The sequence below is a fragment of the Homo sapiens genome, chromosome 10, assembly GCF_000001405.40.
Source record: "Homo sapiens chromosome 10, GRCh38.p14 Primary Assembly".
NCBI classification, from domain to species: Eukaryota; Metazoa; Chordata; class Mammalia; order Primates; family Hominidae; genus Homo; species Homo sapiens.
This window is the reverse complement of record NC_000010.11, coordinates 128,776,605-128,796,717: the sequence shown is the minus strand read 5'-3', so window position 1 is coordinate 128,796,717 and position 20,113 is coordinate 128,776,605. Positions and strand designations below refer to the sequence as shown.

General features: G+C 40.0%; 1 long non-coding RNA gene across 1 annotated transcript in view; it reads right to left on the bottom strand.

The window, feature by feature from the left end:
- LOC105378555 (uncharacterized) overlaps positions 1-14,764 on the bottom strand; it is a 29,689-nt gene extending 14,925 nt beyond the window's left edge. The window contains exons 1-2 of the long non-coding RNA XR_946460.3: positions 14,652-14,764; positions 2,344-2,457 (exon numbers count right to left, since the gene is read on the bottom strand). This is a non-coding gene — a long non-coding RNA (uncharacterized LOC105378555). The remainder of the gene's footprint in view (positions 1-2,343; positions 2,458-14,651) is intronic.
- Positions 14,765-20,113: the final 5,349 nt, after the last annotated feature.

The following is a 20,113-nucleotide window of genomic DNA, read 5'->3' as shown; positions in this document are numbered from 1 at the left end:
ACTTTGTGGAGCTTCTCAGGCTGGAGGCCTGGGGAAATGCCTCTGTCTGTGGCTGCCCAGAGGCACGATGGCTGAGGCATCAACATAGGCATCCACTTGTCTGTTGCTCGGCAGCTGAGGACAGGCAGATGGCATCTGGAAGAGATGCTTTGCAGAGTGCCATGGAGCTTACCAAGGGCCATTCTTCACATGGTTCAAGCAAAAAGCCCAGGCCTCAGACATGGCTCTGATGCTGATGCTCTGATACTGATCTCTGGAAAGTTTGCATCTGGACAGTTACAAACTTTGGGTCTTGCCCTCCCAAAAAAACATCTGATGACACTTACTGGACCCGGTGTGTATCTGGTCACCCAGTCTGGATGCCGACTGTGTTTCTTCTGTGGATTTGCTTGGTTGGAAATATGCCACAGTAATTACCGGAAGTCCTCTATGCCTGCTGGCCTACCCTGCCAGTCTGTGGGCTTTGTGTGCTGAAATTAGACCCTAAATACTGCTTTAATGCAGTTTGGGGAACTTTTTTTATGTGTTCTAGTGGTTTATACCATCATTTGTACTGTACTAAAATTTACATGCCCTTTTTAAAAAAATAATATTGTCATGTAAATTTTTGTAAGCTCTAGGTTTATTTTATGACTCATAAACTTAGACAATATATTAAAATCTTGGAAGAATTCAATATCAGCAGCAGATTATCCTAAAAAATACCCACCCCTAATCCTGGTATTCCAGGGAGAGAGTCCTATCAAGTATGTTTCAAGGTTTAATGGCTGTTAATAAATTTTACTGCTGCCGTCAATAACTCCGTAATATATTGGGCCAGTTAATAGGTCAATGGAACATATTTATATCTTGCTATGAACTGTTTACCCAAGAACAAACTAATTTCTAATGATAATGAAACACCAAGTCAATAAATATTAATTTTAGCATTTCTAATTTAAATACAATTTTTCACATCTGCCATAAAATGTTGGGCTGGCAGCATTAAAACATACATGACTGGTTTTGTGTACCAAGGGCAATTGTGTTAAAAACTAACTGTGATATTTAGCTTATGAAGCAATGTTTGTGGATGACATAACCTTCAAGGTGTGTGATTCTTTATCTTGTTATTAAAGCCACAAAAATACTTAGGATGTCATCTGAAATATTTGTTCAATCACTTTGCAACATTTTAGTATATCTCCTACAGATAAACATATTTTAAGTGCATTTTTAAAAAATATACTGTTTAAAAATCATGGCAAGCTTTTGTATTTAATACATTTCGAATTCAAATCCAACTTAAAAAATCATTTTACTCTCTTTCATTTGGTTATCCAAGAGTTCAATTAAGTTTTATAGTTCAACTGCATAAACTCAATACACGTGTATCTCACTTTAGGCTATGGACATGTTTCTAGTGAAGAGAACAATGTCATAAATTGACTACGCTTCCAACAGATTTGAGAGTTAGAGAATGAATTGCCAATGGTGAGTCCTTTCGTAAAACAATAACACTTGGAAAGTACACGTTTGTAAGATTTTTCATCCTATGGGATCTCCTGAAGAAGGATGCACTCACATATGAAAAAATATATAGAAGCAATCTTAGCCATATCACTTTTTTAACAACAGATAAAATGTTATGGCACATTATTCACCAGTGGACAAATATTTAAAGATCTCCCTCTGCCTGGCACTTTGCTGGGCCCAGCAGCTAGCCAGCCATCCTTTCATCCATCCATCCATCCATCCATCCATCCATCCATCCATCCTTTCATTCTTTCATCTATCCTTTGATTGTTTGTTTATGTCACTGACGTTGTCTGAGTTGCAGCTACTGTTAAGTCCCCTGACCTGAGTTTCAATTCATCTTATTTATTCTTCCAATGTCACTTGTTGTTATGGGCATTGTAAGATATTTAGTAGCAACCCTGGCCTACCCAGTTAGAACAATTAAATGTGTTTCCAAATATTGCCTAATGACCCCCAGGATGGAGCCGTGGAGCAAAAATGTCCCTTGTTGAGAATTACCTGCATTGAAGACATGCATGCTGCATGTGTCCATGAAGCTACAACATTGCCTGTGTACATCATGTAACGAAGCACAAAGAGTACAAGGGGCCTTAGAAGCCACCCACCTATACCTGTATTTCTCAGATGAGGTCACAGACCTAGCAGGAATGGTTTTCCCAAAGGCCACCAGGCATTAGGCCATCACCAGAACATGGTTTCGACCTTCTCCCTGTGCACAGCACTGAGGGCCCTTCCTCTGCTTTCCATGGGAGGACAGGGTCGGCAGAGATTGGCGGATGGTGCAGTGGCTAAGGCAAATTTGCAACTGACCCGCACTGCACTGACCTGCACTTGAGGTTCGTCCTGTTCCAGCACTGGTGTCTCTTTCTAGAGGTTTCTCAATGCATTGCACTTCTTCCAGCTGCCTCTCACTCTGATGTAGGTAATCTGCATGAAGCGCTGGCAAATGCAAATATGATCTATTTGTCATCAATGAGAAAGTGAAACCCCACCCCAGCTGGTGCCTTCCCCACATCTGCCCACCATGCTTTGTGCTCTGTGGGGCTGGCATCCTGGCCTCTCTTGCCCTCTGGCTTCCAGAGGGTGTGGGCCATGGGAGGAGCTGGCAGGAGCTCTAAAGAAAGAGGAGAGAGAGATCAAGATGTGGACTCTCCTGGTGCCTTTCTTGAGAGGCTGTGGACTGGGCAGGGACAGAATCTTACCATGCATTCCCTAAAGCCCTTCTCAGTGGCCAAAGCCCTCACTGGGCTGGCACCACTGTCTGTGCCTTTACCAGGCCCAGGTTGGCAACAGCTTCCTGCTGCTACTAGTTCCCAGGGCTTCACCATTCCTTGCTCACTTCCTCACTCTGCCGCTGGCTTGGTAAACAGTACTTCAAGGAGACCTTCTGCCTGCATCTGCCAGAACCTGACTGCTGGAGATCCTTCTCTGCTTTCCGATGAGCCCAGCCTCCAGCTGGTGACCGTGGCCATTGTGCTTTCTAAAGGTCACTAGAATCTTCTCTTTTCTCTTTTGTGCTTAAACTGATGCAATTCCCCCAATGAATGTGTTGTATTAAATATTAGGCTTCTTAATCTACTATTTTATTAATATATCTTAATATTTAATGCTAACATTTTATGTGGAGTTCTCAGTTGTATTAATCTAGTAAATTTTGCTAATAAAATTAATTATTTTTCTATTTTACCTTTTGAATAGTAAAGATTATGGGGGAGTAAAAATAATTAGATTTCACTGGGGTGAGTGATGGGGGAGAACACTTTATTTTCCTGAAAATGGTTCCTGTTCACCTTCCTCTTACTATTACCTAAGTGTCCTATAGTTATCTCATGTGACCAAAAATGGACTGTGAAATGAAAACGGATGGGTACCTGTGAAGGGCTTCTTGGACAAGTTTTAGGATTTTTAGGGTTGGAAAAGCCTTATAGAAAATGGATGATCTTTGGGTTTATAAATAAGAAAAGGAGGGCCTCCATGCTTTCTCAAGCAAGAGCCACCTTTGCTAAGAGGCCTTCCTTCCTCTCCACCCCATCCCTCCATGCCCAAGTTGGCAGGCTCAGATCTTCCCGTGATCTCATCTCCAGATGACAGATTCAGTCCTGCAGCCAGCTGGGATATGTGCGCTGCTTCCAGTGGATGGCTTCGCCTTCTCTGCTCACTGAGTGTTTGATGAGCCTTCCTTTCTTCCTCTTCCACCTTCAAGAGTGACTCTCTATCAGGCGAGTTGTGGCCAGCAGCACTTGGACAGGAGGGGAAGATCCCCTGCTCCAGCCAGTGGTCCCTGGCCATGGTGGGAGGTCTGCGTGTTGTCATGAGGATCTCCCTTCCCCGAACCTGGGCCCTCCTGCTCTCCTCCTACGTGGCTCAGAGCCCCTTCCCCATCCTGAATCCCACCCAGGTCAGCTTGGACAATCCTACATGAACTGGACTTTTTCCTCTCTTGCTGGCTTCAAGAGGAACACCTTAAATCTCTAGTGATGGAAAGAACACACATGGGCTGGGGGAGTAGAGTGTTTCCCTGTTTCAACCTTTCCATGGTGGAACGTGGTGCTCCATGGACCTGGCCTGCCTCTCCCCAACAGCCCTTGACTCTGCCTCTCGCTTTACCTATGTGTTACATTCCTGCCACTGGAACAAACTCAAGTCTCCCTGCCTTTACTCAGTCTCTCTTTGCTGCCTAGAATTTTCTATTTCCCTCTCCCTCTCCACTTTGTTTCCTTACTTAAAATGTGTTTTTCTTTAAATTAATGAATCATACACAAAGAAGAAAAGTACTGACCATTATTTCAATCAACAAGTTCATATGTTGTCCCTTTAGTTCAGTCCCTTTTCTATTACAAATATTTTTGGTATAATTTAAAGCATGCTTCATAATTTAATAATATTCAGAGATAGATTTCTAAGAAGCACATGAAGCTTAAACTTCAGGGACCCTAGCTGTGGCTCCATCCTGTACTGGGGAATTTTATTCTCTCTCTTAAAGGCCACACAAGTTGTGTAGTGCTCAGGCCCCCAAAACCTGGATCTGCCCCCGCCCCATCTTCATTCTATGCATGAGTTTCCCCACGGTGTCACAAGCTGTTTAGGAACGGGATTCCGGTGGTGCAGCATGGAGCCTCAGGGGATGGGTCGGAACTTGCTCCGTAGTGCTGGACCTTAGGCTATAGCCAATATATTGCTATTACAAATAACACAGCAAGCCATGAGTTTATGCATTAATCTTTGTCCATATTTCTTATTATTTCCCTGGAATAGGCTTCCAGGAGGAGAAGTACTGGGTAAAAAGGAAAAAATGGACTGATGGTTCTTGATACCCATTGACCAGTCGCTTTTCCCTGATGGACAGGCCGTCAGCAGGATGAGAATTCTACCCAACTGAGTCCTTGCCAGTACTTAAAAATCCCTGACAATTTGATAGGTGACAAATGGGATCATCTTGTTCTAACCTTTAACTATTTCAGTACTTGTAAGATGGAACTTTTCATCACCAATATCCATTTGTGTAATATTTACTTTTTTGTAAAATACTCTGGCTCTCTCCTTGAGTCTTGGCATCTTCTAAAAAATCAACATATATACATGCTTGTTCATTAAGGGTATTAATCCCTGTGTGTCATAAAGGTTTAAAATATAATTTCCCAGTTTGATACATGCTTTTTAATTTTTAAATTGGAAGTTTTAGACATCAGAAGTTTTAAAATCATAAATGGTAATTTTGATTTATTGACGCTCTCACTAAGGTTTTGTTTTGTTTTTACTTGGAATTCCCTCCTTTACCCATACACCCAAAGGTAAAATAATTTTGCTGATTACTTGATTTTTATAATGAACTTATTATTTCATCTAGTGTTTGTTGTTGTCCTACATGATATGAGAGAAGTATTTAGGTTCAATAGTTTTTTCTATTTAGCTAGCACTATTTATCCTGACACAATTAATTAAATAATCCACCTATCTATTGCTCATGGATTTAAAAAGATGCCTCTATCACACGTTAAGTGCTTTGCATGTCTCAGGCACAGCTGTAGAGTGACTCGCTCTGTGCACTGGCTCCTGGACACTGTTTCCACGATTACAGTTTGGTTATGCGTGTTCACATATAGAACTTGCTTATTACACTCATTTTGACAAATATATTCTTCTCTAAAAATTCTCATTTTCTTAGAACATTTTATTATGAAATATAATGTGTGTATTAAAATGCATAAAATATAAATGTAGAACTTAACAAATTATTTAAGAGTGAACACCCTTGTAATTACCACCCCGGTCAAGAAACGGAACACTGAAGGCCCCAAGTTGCCTAGCTTGACCCCAGCCTCAACTCACTGCTTCCAGACAGGAGCTACCACACCGACTCTCAGCATAATTACAGCCAAGTGCAAATGCTGAAACACTGTCATGGAATTTTGTACACTTTTGAATTTCATATAAATGGACTTTATATGAAAGAACTTAACATTCTTGGTCAGGTGCAGTGGCTCACGCCTCTAATCCCAGCACTTTGGGAGGCCGAGGTGGCCTGATCACGAGGTCAGCAGTTCGAGACCAGCCTGGCCAACATGATGAAACTCTATCTCTACTAAAAATACAAAAATTTGCCAGGCATGGTGGCGGGTGCCTGTAATCCCAGCTACTCAGGAAGCTGAGGCAAGAGAATCGCTTGAACCCAGGAGGCGGAGGTTGCAGTGAGCCGAGACCACGCCATTGCTCTCCAGTCTGGGCAACAGAGCGAGACTCTGTCTCAAAAAAAAAAAAAAAAAAAAAGAGAAAGAAAGAAAAAAAACAACATCCTTTTGTATTTGGCCTCTTTCATTCAATATTTTGTTTTGAAAACTCATCTACATTGTTACGTATAACTTAATTTAAATCACTTTCATTGCTATATTCTCTGACATTAATATCCTACAATATATGTATCTGTTATGCTGTTGCTGCAAACTTGGATTGCTTCCTGTTTAGGACTCTTCTGAATAATGCTTCTGTGGATTCCTGTATATGTCTTCCAGGGCACGTGAGTCTCTATGCACCATGCTTCAGAGTGTATGGTGCCAGCTTCAACTGTATGCGCATGTTTAATATTGACGGTAATGCCACATGTTTGCAGTATATCAGGCACATTTACACTCCCACCAGCAGGGTATAAATATTTCCATTGAACTCCATTTTCACCACTGCTTGATATTGATTATCTTTTTCATTTTAGCCTTTCAAGTGAGTATGATAGCATTTCTTGAGGCTTGAATTTACATTTCTCTGATGACTTGAGCACTTTTTATACACCTATTGGCCATTTGGATTCACATTTGTGAAGTGTTTGTTCATGTCTTTTGCCCATTTTAAACTGAGTTGTCTACCCTTTTCATGTTGTTTTCTAGAGATTCTTTACATACTCCGGGTTTGTGCTTTTTGTTGGTATGTGAATTGAAAACGTCTTCCTTCTTCTGTTTTGTGGCTTGTTCGTTCATATACCTGATGGTGTCTATGGATAAAAAGATGCTCTTATTTTTAAGGTATTCAAATGTGTCAGCCAATTCCTTTATGGCTAATTTGTGTGTCCTTTTTAAGAAATATTTTTCTACCTTTAAGTCATGAAGATGTTTGTCTACAATGTCTTCTAAACAGGGTATTCTTTTGCCTTTTACACTTAAGTATATAATCTCTTGGACTAGAGTTTTGCATATAAGGTAACCCAATATCTTTTTCCATATGGGTATCCAATTTTCCCAGCATTATTTTTGAAAGTCTATCCTTTTCCCCATTGTTTTACAATTCCACCTTTGTCCTAAATCAATTGCCATATATGTATATGTTGTTTTCACACCATTAAATTCAGTACTGTTGGTCTCTTTGAACATCCCTTTGGTAATACACACTGTCTTAATTAATATAACCTTATAATAAGCTTTAATTTCTTATAAAGCAATTCTTCCTACTTGTTCTTTTCTTTTAAGGTGACCAGAGCTGTTCTTGGCACTTTGGATTTTTATTTGAATGTTTAAATCAGTTTTGTAATTAGATCCTCTTTAGATCTGCTGTATTCCCACTCAAAAGGCACTGATCAGCTTAGGGGAGTTAACATTTTTATGCTATTGTATCATCCAATTCACATGCATGGTTTATGTCTTCATTACTTACATCATCTTTAACTTAATTGGTTTTACAGTTTCCTATGTAGATGTCTTGCCCATAGTATGTGCAATATTTATTTCTATGTATCTGATATTTTTAATAATATTGAAAATGATACCTTTACATATTCATTTTTTGTTGTATATGACTATATAAAGGAGGATTTAGGTTTATTAACTTCTGTCCCTAGAGAAGTTTTAAAGTTACTTCTTAATTCATTAATTAATCTGAAAATCCATTTGGGCTATTGATATACACAATTGTTTATTTGTGATTTTGTTTATTTTATCTTTTTAAAAAATGACAGTGTTCTTTCTTCCTTTCTAATTAATCTTTCAGCTTTTCTTTGGCTGTTCCTCCGACTGCATGGGCAAGAACCTCCAAGACAATCTTGAAATGAAATTGAAAGAGTGAATATCCTGGCATTGTTCTGTATAATTTTGTCTTCCAGATAATTTTTAGAATGACTGTTTTCAAGTTTAATGAAATTCTATTGGGATTTTCATTGGGATTGAAATTTGACACCTGTATCATATCGGATCTTCACACCCAGAAGTAAAGGATTTGCTTTTATTTTAGTGGATATTTGATTAAAGGTAAAATCTTTATTTGCTGCCTACAAATGTGTGTGTCATGTACAAGCACAAACATGCTTATATGTGCTCATACATGTACACACACATAATAGTTATAATAGTGCACATACATGCTTATATATGCTCATACACGTACACACACATACTAGTTATAACGCACTAACTCTAGCTCTATATGTGCCCATGTATAGGTGTTTGTATGTGATTGAACTTATTAATTTTGTTAATTATATCCTCTACAGGCTCACATTTTTTGTCTATTTGATTTTCCAATGCTGGAGAAAGTAAATTAAATCTTCCCTCTATGACCATGGTTTCATTAATTCATATTTTACTCATAATTATTTTCCTTGATACAATTTGATTTACATTGCTCACTGTATATGCGACAATGACTGCTATTCCTTCTCAGGCTATTTTAATTATCATCAACATAAAATATATGCTTCTTTGTCCTGTTTAAATATTCCTGCCTTGAATCCTACTTTCTCAACTTTTGATAGTGCCACATTAGCTTTTCTTTTGGTTAGTATTTGACTGTCTGACTCTTTAAAAATGTTTCTATGATTTGGTTTAATGTATGTGTATAAAATAAGCAAGGCCCAACTTTGTATAAGTTATGTGTACTGATATGCAAATCTTTTAATAGAAAAGTTGGAGTCAGTCACAGTTGTTATCATCACTAATATGCTTTGGCTTTATTTCTGTCCTCCTTCCTCTGTTTCGTTTTCTATTTGGTAATAAAACTGAATTTTAATTCTTCTAGTTAAATGCTTTGATAAAGCGTCTTCCAAGGGACCTGGGCTGGCCCCACCAAATTGCAGCCCTCTGGCCATGCTGGAGAGTGATGTCAATGCCAACAGCCTCCTGCTGTGCTGGGGACCCTGGAGTGTGAGTCTGCTGCACCCTCTTTCCAACAGTTCGATTACGGTGCCAGCACAAGGCGAGATCTCTACAGAGCTTGCAACAAACACCTGCACCTGCGAAACGGGCTCTTTTCCTCTCCCAGGTTTGCTGTTTTACCACTGGGAAATTCCAGTCCATTCTTAATGACAGCAACAAAAACCATGTTGATAAAATAAACATTATCTGAGAACTCAACCCACTTTGCTGAAAGACATTGTCAGCAACCCAAGCTCAGCAATGGTGAAATCAGAAAGAGTAAAGGTAGAATACAGCTTCTGTCCTGAATCCATCTGATCTTTGTGGTTAATCACTGTGTGTTTTTTACTATATCACTTCCCACCAACCAGCACTGGGACGTTTGGTGTAGGGCAGTTAGTATAATTTAACCGAGAAAAACAGTTCACCACATGCAATCAACTTGACTTCCTTTGGGTCCTAGAGGCAGCAGAATTGCTATGGGGAGGACAGCACCCATAATTATCATTTAAAAATCAATATGTTTGAATAAAATGTTTGTCTAAAGGTTTTATTTCCTCACTTAAATTTGTTGCATTTATTAATAACTGATTACTATAAAAGTAGAATAAGGCCGGGCACAGTGGCTCACACCTGTAATCCCAGCATTTTGGGGGGCCTAGGTGGGGAGATCACAAGGTCACAAGTTCGAGACCAGCCTGGCCAACATGGTGAAACCCTGTATCTACTAAAAATACAAAATTTAGCTGGGCGTAGTGGCAGGTGCTTGTAATCCCAGCTTCTCAGGAGGCTGAGGCAGGAGTATTACTTGAACCAGGGAACCGGGGAGGTAGAGGTTGCAGTGAGCTGAGATCATACCATTGCACTCCAGCCTGGGTGACAAGAGCAAGAATCCATCGCCAAAAAAAAAGAGAGAGAAAAAAGTAGAATAAGTGTAAGTTTGTAAGAAAAAAGGATATTTTCATTTAAAGTTGGGATATAGGGAGAAAGATGACAAGTGTGCAAAATGTTTGCCTTATTTTTGGGGAAAGGGTAAATTATAGTTGCAAATATTTAGCATTTACATAAAACATATTTAAAAGTAAGACTAGAGAAGAGAAATAGTACATATAAATTACAAAACCCTAAAGCAAATAAGTAAGAAAAAAATTTAAGCCAACTAGGTAAAGTATGAAAGATAAAAAACAGTAAGAAAATGAAACATATCAATTAGCCCAGTACATGTGCATGCATTTATTTTGTACATTAGAAGAGGAGACTAGATAAAAAGAAAAAAATAGCTATGTGCTATGTATAAGAAATACACACCAAGTAACATGATACAAAAAAATTGAAAGATTAAAAGGCTGAAAAATAGATTGTAAAAAATTTGGCAAGAAGCATCAAAAATAAAGGAAAAGATATGAGAAGAAAAGAAAAAAAATGAAAGGAAATTAAAGCAGTAGTATTTTCAAGGGGGGTTGGGGGAAACACAAATACTCATAGACATGTGAACATAGTCTCAACCCAATACTAGGGAGTGTGTTCAAAATACAGTAATGAAGAGAGGCTATATTTTGCTAGTACAGATTAATGTAATCATGAGTGACAACAATGGCAGGAAACAGGAGGCACGTTCATACACATTCACTGTGGTTTGCTGGATGTGTTTTGCTGGAACATTTTTGAAGAGCTTATAGCGGCAACTATCAACATTTACAGCGTGCACATCCTTAACAGCAAGCTGCTTCTAGAAACTATCCTATAGAAATACTAACACAGTTACATACCACTGAAAGTACTCAGTATGGCAGCATTGTTTGCAATAGCTAAAAACTGGAACCAGCTTGAATTCTCATCTATTGTAAAGTAATTAAATATAGTATGGTACAACCATCCTATAAAATACTATATGGGGGAGCAAAAATACTAATGCTAGGAACCTGAGAAAATATTTGCAAACCCACGTATCTGAGAAAAGTCTAATATCCAAAATTTCTAACGAACCCAAACATCTCAAAAACCAAGTAATAACTCTGTTAAAAAATGGGGAAAAGGGCTTGAATAGACATTTCTTAAAGAGAGACACATACACGGCAAACAGGTACCGTTTATGAAAAAGTGCTCAACTTGATTTATCATCAGGAAAATGCAAATTAAAACCACAATGCAATATCATCTCATATCTGTTAGAATGGCCATTACCAAAAAGACAAAAAATAAGCATTGGTGAAGATATGAAGAAAAGGGAACCCCTGAACACTGTTGGTGGAAATGTGAATTAGTACAGCCATTATGGAAAACAGGGTGGAGGTTCCACAAAACATTAAAAATAGAACTACCCTATGATCTAGAAGTCCTGTTTCTGCATATATATCCAAAGGAAATGAAAACAATCTGTCAAGGAGATATCTCCACTGTCACATTCATTGCAGCATGTTTCACAATAGTCAAGATGTGGAATCAACCTAGGTGTCCAATGATGGATAAATGGATAAGTGGATACGTACACAGTGGGATATGAATCACAATGGGATATGATACTATACATAAGAAGGAAGTCTTGTGATTTGTGACAACATGGGTTAACCTGGAGTACATTATGCTAAGGGAAATAAGCCAGTCACAGAAAGACAAACACTACATAATCTTAATTGTAGGTGGAATTTAAAATTTCCAAACTCACGGAAACAGAGTAGAATGGTGGTTGCCAAGGACTGGAGAGGTGGAGGGTGGAGAGATGTCAGTTAAAAGGTACAAAGTTTCAGTTAGAATGAAAAAATTTTGGAGATCTGTTGTACAGCATGATGACAATAGTTAATAATATATTTGAGACTTGAAAATTGCTAAGAGATTAGATCTTAAATATTCTCACCACGAAAAAGAAAATAAACAGGAGAGGTAATAGATGAGTGAATGAGCTCCATGTAATCATTTTACAATGTATGCATGCATCAAAACATGACGTCATATACTGTAAATATATACAATTATTTATTTGTCAATTCTACCTTATTAAAACTGTGAAAAAATAATATTAAAAGTAAATAGCATTGAAAAAGGTGAAAGAGATATTGATGAAGGGTGAAAAGTATTCTGCATGACAATAAGAAGACTAATGAGAACAAATTTGCAGAGAAATGTGCAAGTTTTTTATTAGTCTTCTTATTGTCACACTGAATACTTTTTCCCCACTCATCAATATCTCTTTCACCTTTCAAAACCACAATGAGATACCATCTCACGCCAGTTAGAATGGTGATCATTAAAAAGTCAGGAGACAACAGATGCTGGAGAGGATGTGGAGAAATAGGAACGCTTTTGCTTTTACACTGTTGGTGGGAGTGTAAATTAGTTCAACCATTGTGGAAGACGGTGTGGCGATTCCTCAAGGATCTCAAACCAGAAATACCATTTGACCCAGCAATCCTATTACTGGGTATATAGCCAAAGTATTATAAATCATTCTACTATAAAGACACATGCACACGTATGTTTACTGCAGCACTGTTCACAATAGCAAAGACTTGAAACCAACCCAAATGCCCATCAATGATAGACTGGATAAAGAAAATGTGGCACATATACACCATAAAATACTATGCAGACATAAAAAAGGATGAGTTCATGTCTTTTGCAGGGACATGGATGAAGCTGGAAACCATTGTTCTCAGCAAACTAACACAAGAACAGAAAACCAAACACCACATGTTCTCACTCATAAGTGGAATTTGAACAATGACTACAAATGGACTCAGGGAGGGGATCATCACACACCAGGGCCTTTCGGGGGATCAGGGGGGTAGGGGAGGAATAGCATTAGGAGAAATACCTAATGTAGATAATGGGTTGATGGGTGCAGCAAACCACCATGGCACGTGCATACCTATGTAACAAGCCTGCACATTCTGCACATGTATCCCAGAACTTAAAGTATAATGAAAAAATTTAAAAAAAAAGAACAAACTTGCATGTGTAAAATATTCACTCACATATTTTGACATAAAAGGATATAAATGATACCCACCAAATAATGTTTTCAGCAATTATCTTTGAAAAGGCAAGTGGATTTGGGAGACACAGTAAAAGGAAACTGACTTTTGACTCCCTCTGATTCTGTATAATCTGACTTTAATGACTTCATTAAAAAACCTGACTATTAAAAAATAAGGGCCGGGTATGGTGGCTCACGCCTGTAATCCCAGCACTTTGGGAGGCAGAGGCAGTCAGATCACGAGTTTGGTAGTTTAAGACAAGCCTGACCAACATGGTGATACCCCGTCTCTACTGAAAATACAAAAATTAGCCAGGTATGGTGGCACGCACCTGTAGTCCCAGCTACTCAGGAGGCTGAGGCAGGAGAATTGCTTGAACCCAGGAGGCAGAGGTTGCAGGGAGCCAAGATTGCGCCATGGCACTCCAGCCTGGAGACAGCGTGAGACTCCATCTCAAAAAAAAAAAAAAAAAAAAAGAAAAGAAAAGAAGGAAGGAAAAGTATGTGAGAAATAAGAAATAGCCTAGAGATTTTTGTTCAAGGAGTTGCAGATAAAATCAGGGGATGTATCATTAAAGGTATAAAGCACCAGGGGTTTGTCTTCAAACTTCTTAGGTGGAGAGGTCAATGTCAAGTCAAAAGGAATGCTCACAAAAATAAGAGCAACATACTTAGAACAGCTTGTATGGTTTTCATGGTTATTTGAATAAAACAAAGTTCTTTATGAGACTTTAGTTTCCAAATAAAATGGAATCTGATTAGCTTGGGTGGATGCAGATATAATTTCAGCACCTAGAAGGAACGTGTTTATTGTTTCATGCCTTATTTCATATTAGTTACCGTTATTTACTAAGGTGATTTTTACTAAGGTGCTAGGTTTTTGCCCACTTTTTAGAAAACTAATAGTCATATATTTATCAACTAATATTGTGATAGAAGCTCTACTGTGTCCACTTCACGTATATCTGAAGCCACTGGAAAAGAGTTAATATTACAGATACCTCAGCCTTCTGAGTAGCTGGGACCACAGATGCATGCCATCGTGCCCAGCTAATTCTTAAAAATTTTTTTGTAGAGGCCGTGTGCGGTGCCTCACGCCTGTAATCCCAGCACTTTGGGAGGCCGTGGCAGGTGGATCCCTTGAGCTCAGGAGTTCGGGAAACATGACAAAACTCCATCTCTACTAAAAATACAAAAATTAGCCAGGCATGGTGGTGCATACCTGTAGTCCCAGTTACTCGAGAGGCTCAGGTGGGAGGACTGCTTGAGCCTGGGAGGCAGAGGTTGCAATGAGCCGAGATCATGCCACCGCACCCCAGCCTGGGTGACAGAGCCAGATCCTGTCTCAAAATATATATATATTACGGATATCAGGAATTATCCTTCACCTTAGCAGCAAATGGGCATGAGATAAAAGCCCTGGGATAGAATAAAAATGTTAATTCCCTATGGGCTTGCCTAAAACTCCAAACAAAAAGTTTTAGCATATTAGCCCATTCAGGATAGACTAATTTACACTACAAACTAAAAATATGAAGATCTTGAATTACCAGTGGTTTACAGTGACAATCATCTTTTGTGTTCATCACAGATGTGCTGTGGCATTCTCCAGATTCTCTTTGCTACAGGCCCCCAACTGACAGAGCAGCCCGCGTCTGGGAGGCTCCCGGTCTCCTGGCAGAAGGAAAAAAAAGAAATCATGGCAGTCTCCTGGGTGTGATAGCTACTGCTTGGGATTGGCCAGTGTAGCTTCTGCTCACACTCATTGGCCAAAAGAGGTCACATGACCAGGCCTGCTGTGAATGGGTGGCCATGACAAGGAAGGGCTCCTGGAAGGGCTAGAATGTGTCACACCCTGTATTCAACAGTTTTAACAATATCTAAGAGATGGGCCCTGCCATCTGGACTGTTAGAGTCACAAACAATGCATGCACAGATTGATATCAAACACTGCCATAGTCTATTGAAAAGTTGTAAGAAGAAAACTGCATAAGAGTCTTGTGTTGGTCAGCCCAGAACTAAATATGGATAAAAATGGAAAATTTGAGCAAAATGAAATACCGAGCTAGGGAGACATTACAAGAGTGACTTAACACCATAATAAACTCTTGCCTAGGTGGGGCACTAGCAAGATTGCAGCCCTGGGACTGTGGAGAAGACTGTGCTGAACCATGTGATTCCTCCCCATCTTAAATATATAAACACTTGTACGTGCATATGGATATATGCTCCAAATTAACATCAGGTAGAATCTCCCTTTTATTGAGGAAATTTTCATGCAACGTTCACAAGACACCCTGATAAACTGCACACCATTTCCCCAAGGAACGCCTTCACTAATATCGCATTTCATAGAGTTTCCTCAACGTGCTTTTCTGCATATTACGCCTTATTTCTGGTATATCATAAATCCTTAATAAATATTCATTTAAGAGTAATAAATGAAGAAAAACTGAGATGAGGAGATAAAGCTACATGACAATAGGAAACATTGAGAGGGTGCACAGGCCCTAACCAGATCGGGCTGCAGATTCTGCAGGAAACATCTGCCCTGTGAAGTCACTCCCAGGGGGACTAAGAAGACAGGCATCGTCTGACTTTTTATTTCTTATTTTCTGTTGTTTTTGGAGCCCTAAGCTGTCAAGATGGAGATGTGGAGATGTGAGTTGCCACTGACCCTGAGGAGAGAGCACTGGGAGAGAGGTGGGGGCATGAGGGTGGGAGCTAAGGTCTGCAGGGACCCTGACACATTTGCCTGAGCCTGGAGTGCATGGTATGGTACTGTGGTGCCAACCCTCCGAATGAGAGGATTATGTCTATTCTTCGGGTCATGTTATTATACTTCTTTTTAATATTAATCAGAGAAACTGGAAAGCTTTATTGCAAAGATGATGTGTGTGCCTCTTTCTCAGAGACCTGCACAGGGTGTGTTGGCTCCTGCTCATAGATTTGATGAGGGGAGTGCAAGCTCCCCTCTACTGAGCAGAATGAAGCATCCCCATAATTGGCCATAAAAAGGTGCGCAGCACAGACTCGCTGTGATTCCAGGCTGCAAGCGAGGACCTGCTCTGGCACGGTGGCTTCAGTTTGTCCCCGGGCTGATTTCCACTGGCTGCGAAGTTCATAACGTATCCAGGTTATTTCAATCATGTCTGTACTGCTGGACTTCAATTTTTTTTAAAGCCCTTGTTTAAATCCAACTCTATTTCTACACTGGCCAAATCGAAAACATCACTCCGCCTTCCAGAGCTAACCTATTTTATCATGATTTATACTTGGGAACATGAGCCTTGCCAAGAAGCACATGACCTCTGCCCAATATTAATAATTGCAGTATGGAGATAAAGTCTATTACATGGGATAATTCTCTACATGGCTGAACAGATTTAAAGGAAAAAGATGAGATTCCTGCTTTCCACACACTGGAGTGAATGGCTGTTCACTGGCAGGAGAGTTCATGGGGAATATGAATGAAGAAATGCATTCTGAGCACTTCCCCAATTGGACTTATTACGAGCTATTGTAGAGCTGAGAGCAGAGGGCATGGAACTGTGCTAGGAAGTGTTTAACAACCAGTTCTCCAAGGCGGAAAGCCCTGACTGATAGTGGTTGCCAGTTTCTGAGGTGTAAATATTCCTACTAGGTGGCCCTCCAATATACGGTATTTTTACCATATAGATAACACTGGCATAAGTAACCTCAAGAGGACAGTTTGCTGGAAAAGGTCATGAAATAATTAGAAAGTTATTCATTTGGGGCACCTATTACCTTTCATAAAATATAATTTACTTAATGTTAAATGTATATAATTTAGTATTTAACAATGGCTGTGTTTAACAAAGATTCAAAAAATTCCTGAAAATTTAACAACTGGCTCCCATGAGCCGATACATGTCAGCTCCAGCACGCCACGGGGCCGTGGGCAGATGCTCGCTGTGTGGGTGTGTGTTTAAGAAGAATAATCTCGCAGACAGAGGAGTGAATCTGAGTACCGCGCAATACATTTCAATCTATTTTACCTTTCCTGGGGTCTGGTTGCAGTTTGGCCGGTGCTCAAATTGGCAGCCTTGTGGAGGCAGCCATCCTTCTGAGCGTGAGCCGGCTCATGGGGCCGTGTCCTCAGGCGGAATCCTCGGAGGCTTCCAAGTCTATTGTGCACGTTCCTGAAAGTATCTATCATGCATATTTTTTTTTCTCAGTATCTAAATCCTTTAAGATGTTCTTGCTTTGGGTAAGATGAAGTGATCCAGAGTGTTATATTTCCTTGTATCATCTCTAAAACAGAAACCAGAGAAGGTAAGAGACTTGGACACTTTTCTACAATAGTTATTAATACACGAGCCAGGCCTCATGGGGTTGGAGGAGTACCATGAGTAACTGGAACCAGAGGACAAGAGGCACTGGCTGTGGGGCAACGTGGAAGGGACCGGCTGTTAGGAATGTGCTCAGGGGTTTCCCATGCATGCTGGAACCGCCGGGGGTGGGTGGGAAAGGCAGTGTGCTGTGGGCTTTGCATTCTGACTCTGATCTCCTTACTTCCCAGAATCTAAATAAGGTAAAGTGGTGGTTGCCAGTGCTTCGCTTGAGCAAGGGCACCAGACGTCTGCTCTTGGTTTACACCGGGAATGGAATGGGCTCCATGATGAGCCATTTATTCATGTTGGAAGAACAGAGCAGAGGCCCGTCCAGTGATATCAGACACCTACCGACTGCAATATAGATCCTTCTTAAAGTTAAGGCTCCCAAACCTGCCTTCAAGGTAGAAACTCAGTAAAGCAGCAAAAATCTCACAGCTTGAGGGTCTTGCTACTCATGTAGAGTGGGTATGAGGGTGGCTGGGACCCAAGCGCCTAATGAGCTCAGATTCAGGCCAGTGTAAGAGGCCCGGGGAGTTGAGCAAATCTAATTCCTTCCGGGCCAAATCTCTCACGGGGACATGGCTTCTGACCTGGAGCAGCCTAGAAGGAGAGGAGGAGGAAACTCTGTCTTTTTTATTGTTTTTATTTTTTTGAGATGGTGTTTCACTCTTGTTGCCCAGGCTGGAGTGCAGTGGCAAGATCTGGCCTCAGTACAACCTTCCCCTCCTGGGTTCAAGTGAGTCTTCTGCCTCAGCCTCCTGAGTAGCTGGGATTACAGGCACCCGCCACCACACCCGGCTAATTTTTGTGTTTTTAGTAGAGATGGAGTTCCAACACGTTGGCCAAGCTGGTCTAGAACTCCTGACCTCAGGTGATCTGCCCACCTCGGCCTCCCAAAGTGCTGCGATTACAGGCATAAGCCACTGCGCCCGGCCGAGAGTCTGTCTTATGGAAGGTTTTTAGGGCCTTTGAGTCAAAGGCTCACTGCTGGAAGGCCAAGCCTGTTTTGAGCATGTATTTGCTGCACTGTTAGATGGTAGGTTTTCCAGAAATCCAGCAGCACCTTTTAGTAGTCTTCAGCTGTCCTCAATGCCTGGACCCCCCAATCCTTCTTGTTAATGTTAATAATTGTGGAAGTAGTCAGAGATTTGATAGGAATTGAAAGGAAGCTTTTTGTCTCTGGGTAATATGGAAATCTCAGTTAAGGTAAGAGGATGTCCTAATTTGGAGGCTCTAAAAAGGTCAAAAATTCTAAGGTTATCTTTTTTTAAATTCACTCTATTTAATGTATACAATACGATGTTTTCATATACATAGACAAAGTGAAGTAGTTTTTGTAGTCAAGCAAATTAACATATCCGTCTCTTCACAGAGTTACGTGTGTGTGTGTGTTTGTGTGGTAAAATTTACTCTCAGCAAATTTATAGTATACAATATGTATTTATTATAGCTAAATTTTACACTCAGCAAGTTTATAGTATACAATACATATTGTTGGCTACAGTCCTCATGCTCTCCATTACATCTCTAAACTTTTTTCTCTTCTATAACTGTGAGTTTGTACCCTCTGACCTACTTCTATTTCCCTTATCTGTCTACTGTAACCACTATTCCACTCTCTGTTTCTATGTATTTGACTATTTTTTTTTTACATTCCACATATAAAATGAGATCATGCAGTATTTATCTTCCTGTGTCTGGCTTATGTCACTTAGCATAATGTCCTCCAGGTTCATTAATATTGTCACAAATGGCAGGATCTCCTTTCACAGGTTGAATAATATTTCATCATGTGTGTGTATGTGTGTATATATACATTCACATTTTCTTTTTCCATTCATCTGTCAACGGACACTTACGTTGTTTCTACATCTTGACTATTGTGAATAATGCTGACATGAACATGAAAACCTAAATATCTCTACAAGGAATGTATTTTGTTTCTACTGGATTAGATACCCAGAAGAGGGATTACTGGGTCATATATTCATTGTATTTTTAATTTTTTGAGGAGTATCTCTCTTTATCTTAAGCCACGTGTTTAAGAGGCATTTTCCTGGAAGATTTTTAGGTGGGTTAGATTACCATGTGAGGGGCTTGGCTCAGGATGACAATTTGTAAGTGACTAGCTTCTGGTAGAAGCTTCTGGCAAGAGAGCAGTGTCTGGGAACATTGTCCCTGCTCTGCTGTGTGCTGATCACGCTAGACATTGTGGTAGGGCATGAGATCAATAAAGGGAACAGCTAAAAGCCTGAGTACAATTGACCTGCTCAGTGACAAGGAAAAGTGCTCACACGGAAAAAGAATGGTGAAAAGTCAATTCCATTTTTGAAAAATCTGTCAGATTAATTAAAATACGGTGTAGTACAGAAGAGCTAATTAATATCCCCTCAGCCTCCCTCTCCTTATCTGCACCTTTGTTCTCTTCAGCCCCTCCTTCACACAACGTCGGGAACTGCAGGCTCGGAAGTGCTGGCTTTGCCTGACGCAAGAGTTGAGCACCGGGTAGCAGTAAGGTAAACTGACACAAAAAATTAGTGTCTGTTTCTAGAACAAATAGAAACCAACTAGCTATTAATGTTGTCATTTTTAATCCTCTTAAATTATTTGATTAAAATCAAAGCACAAAAACCATTAGATGAGACCACTTTTTA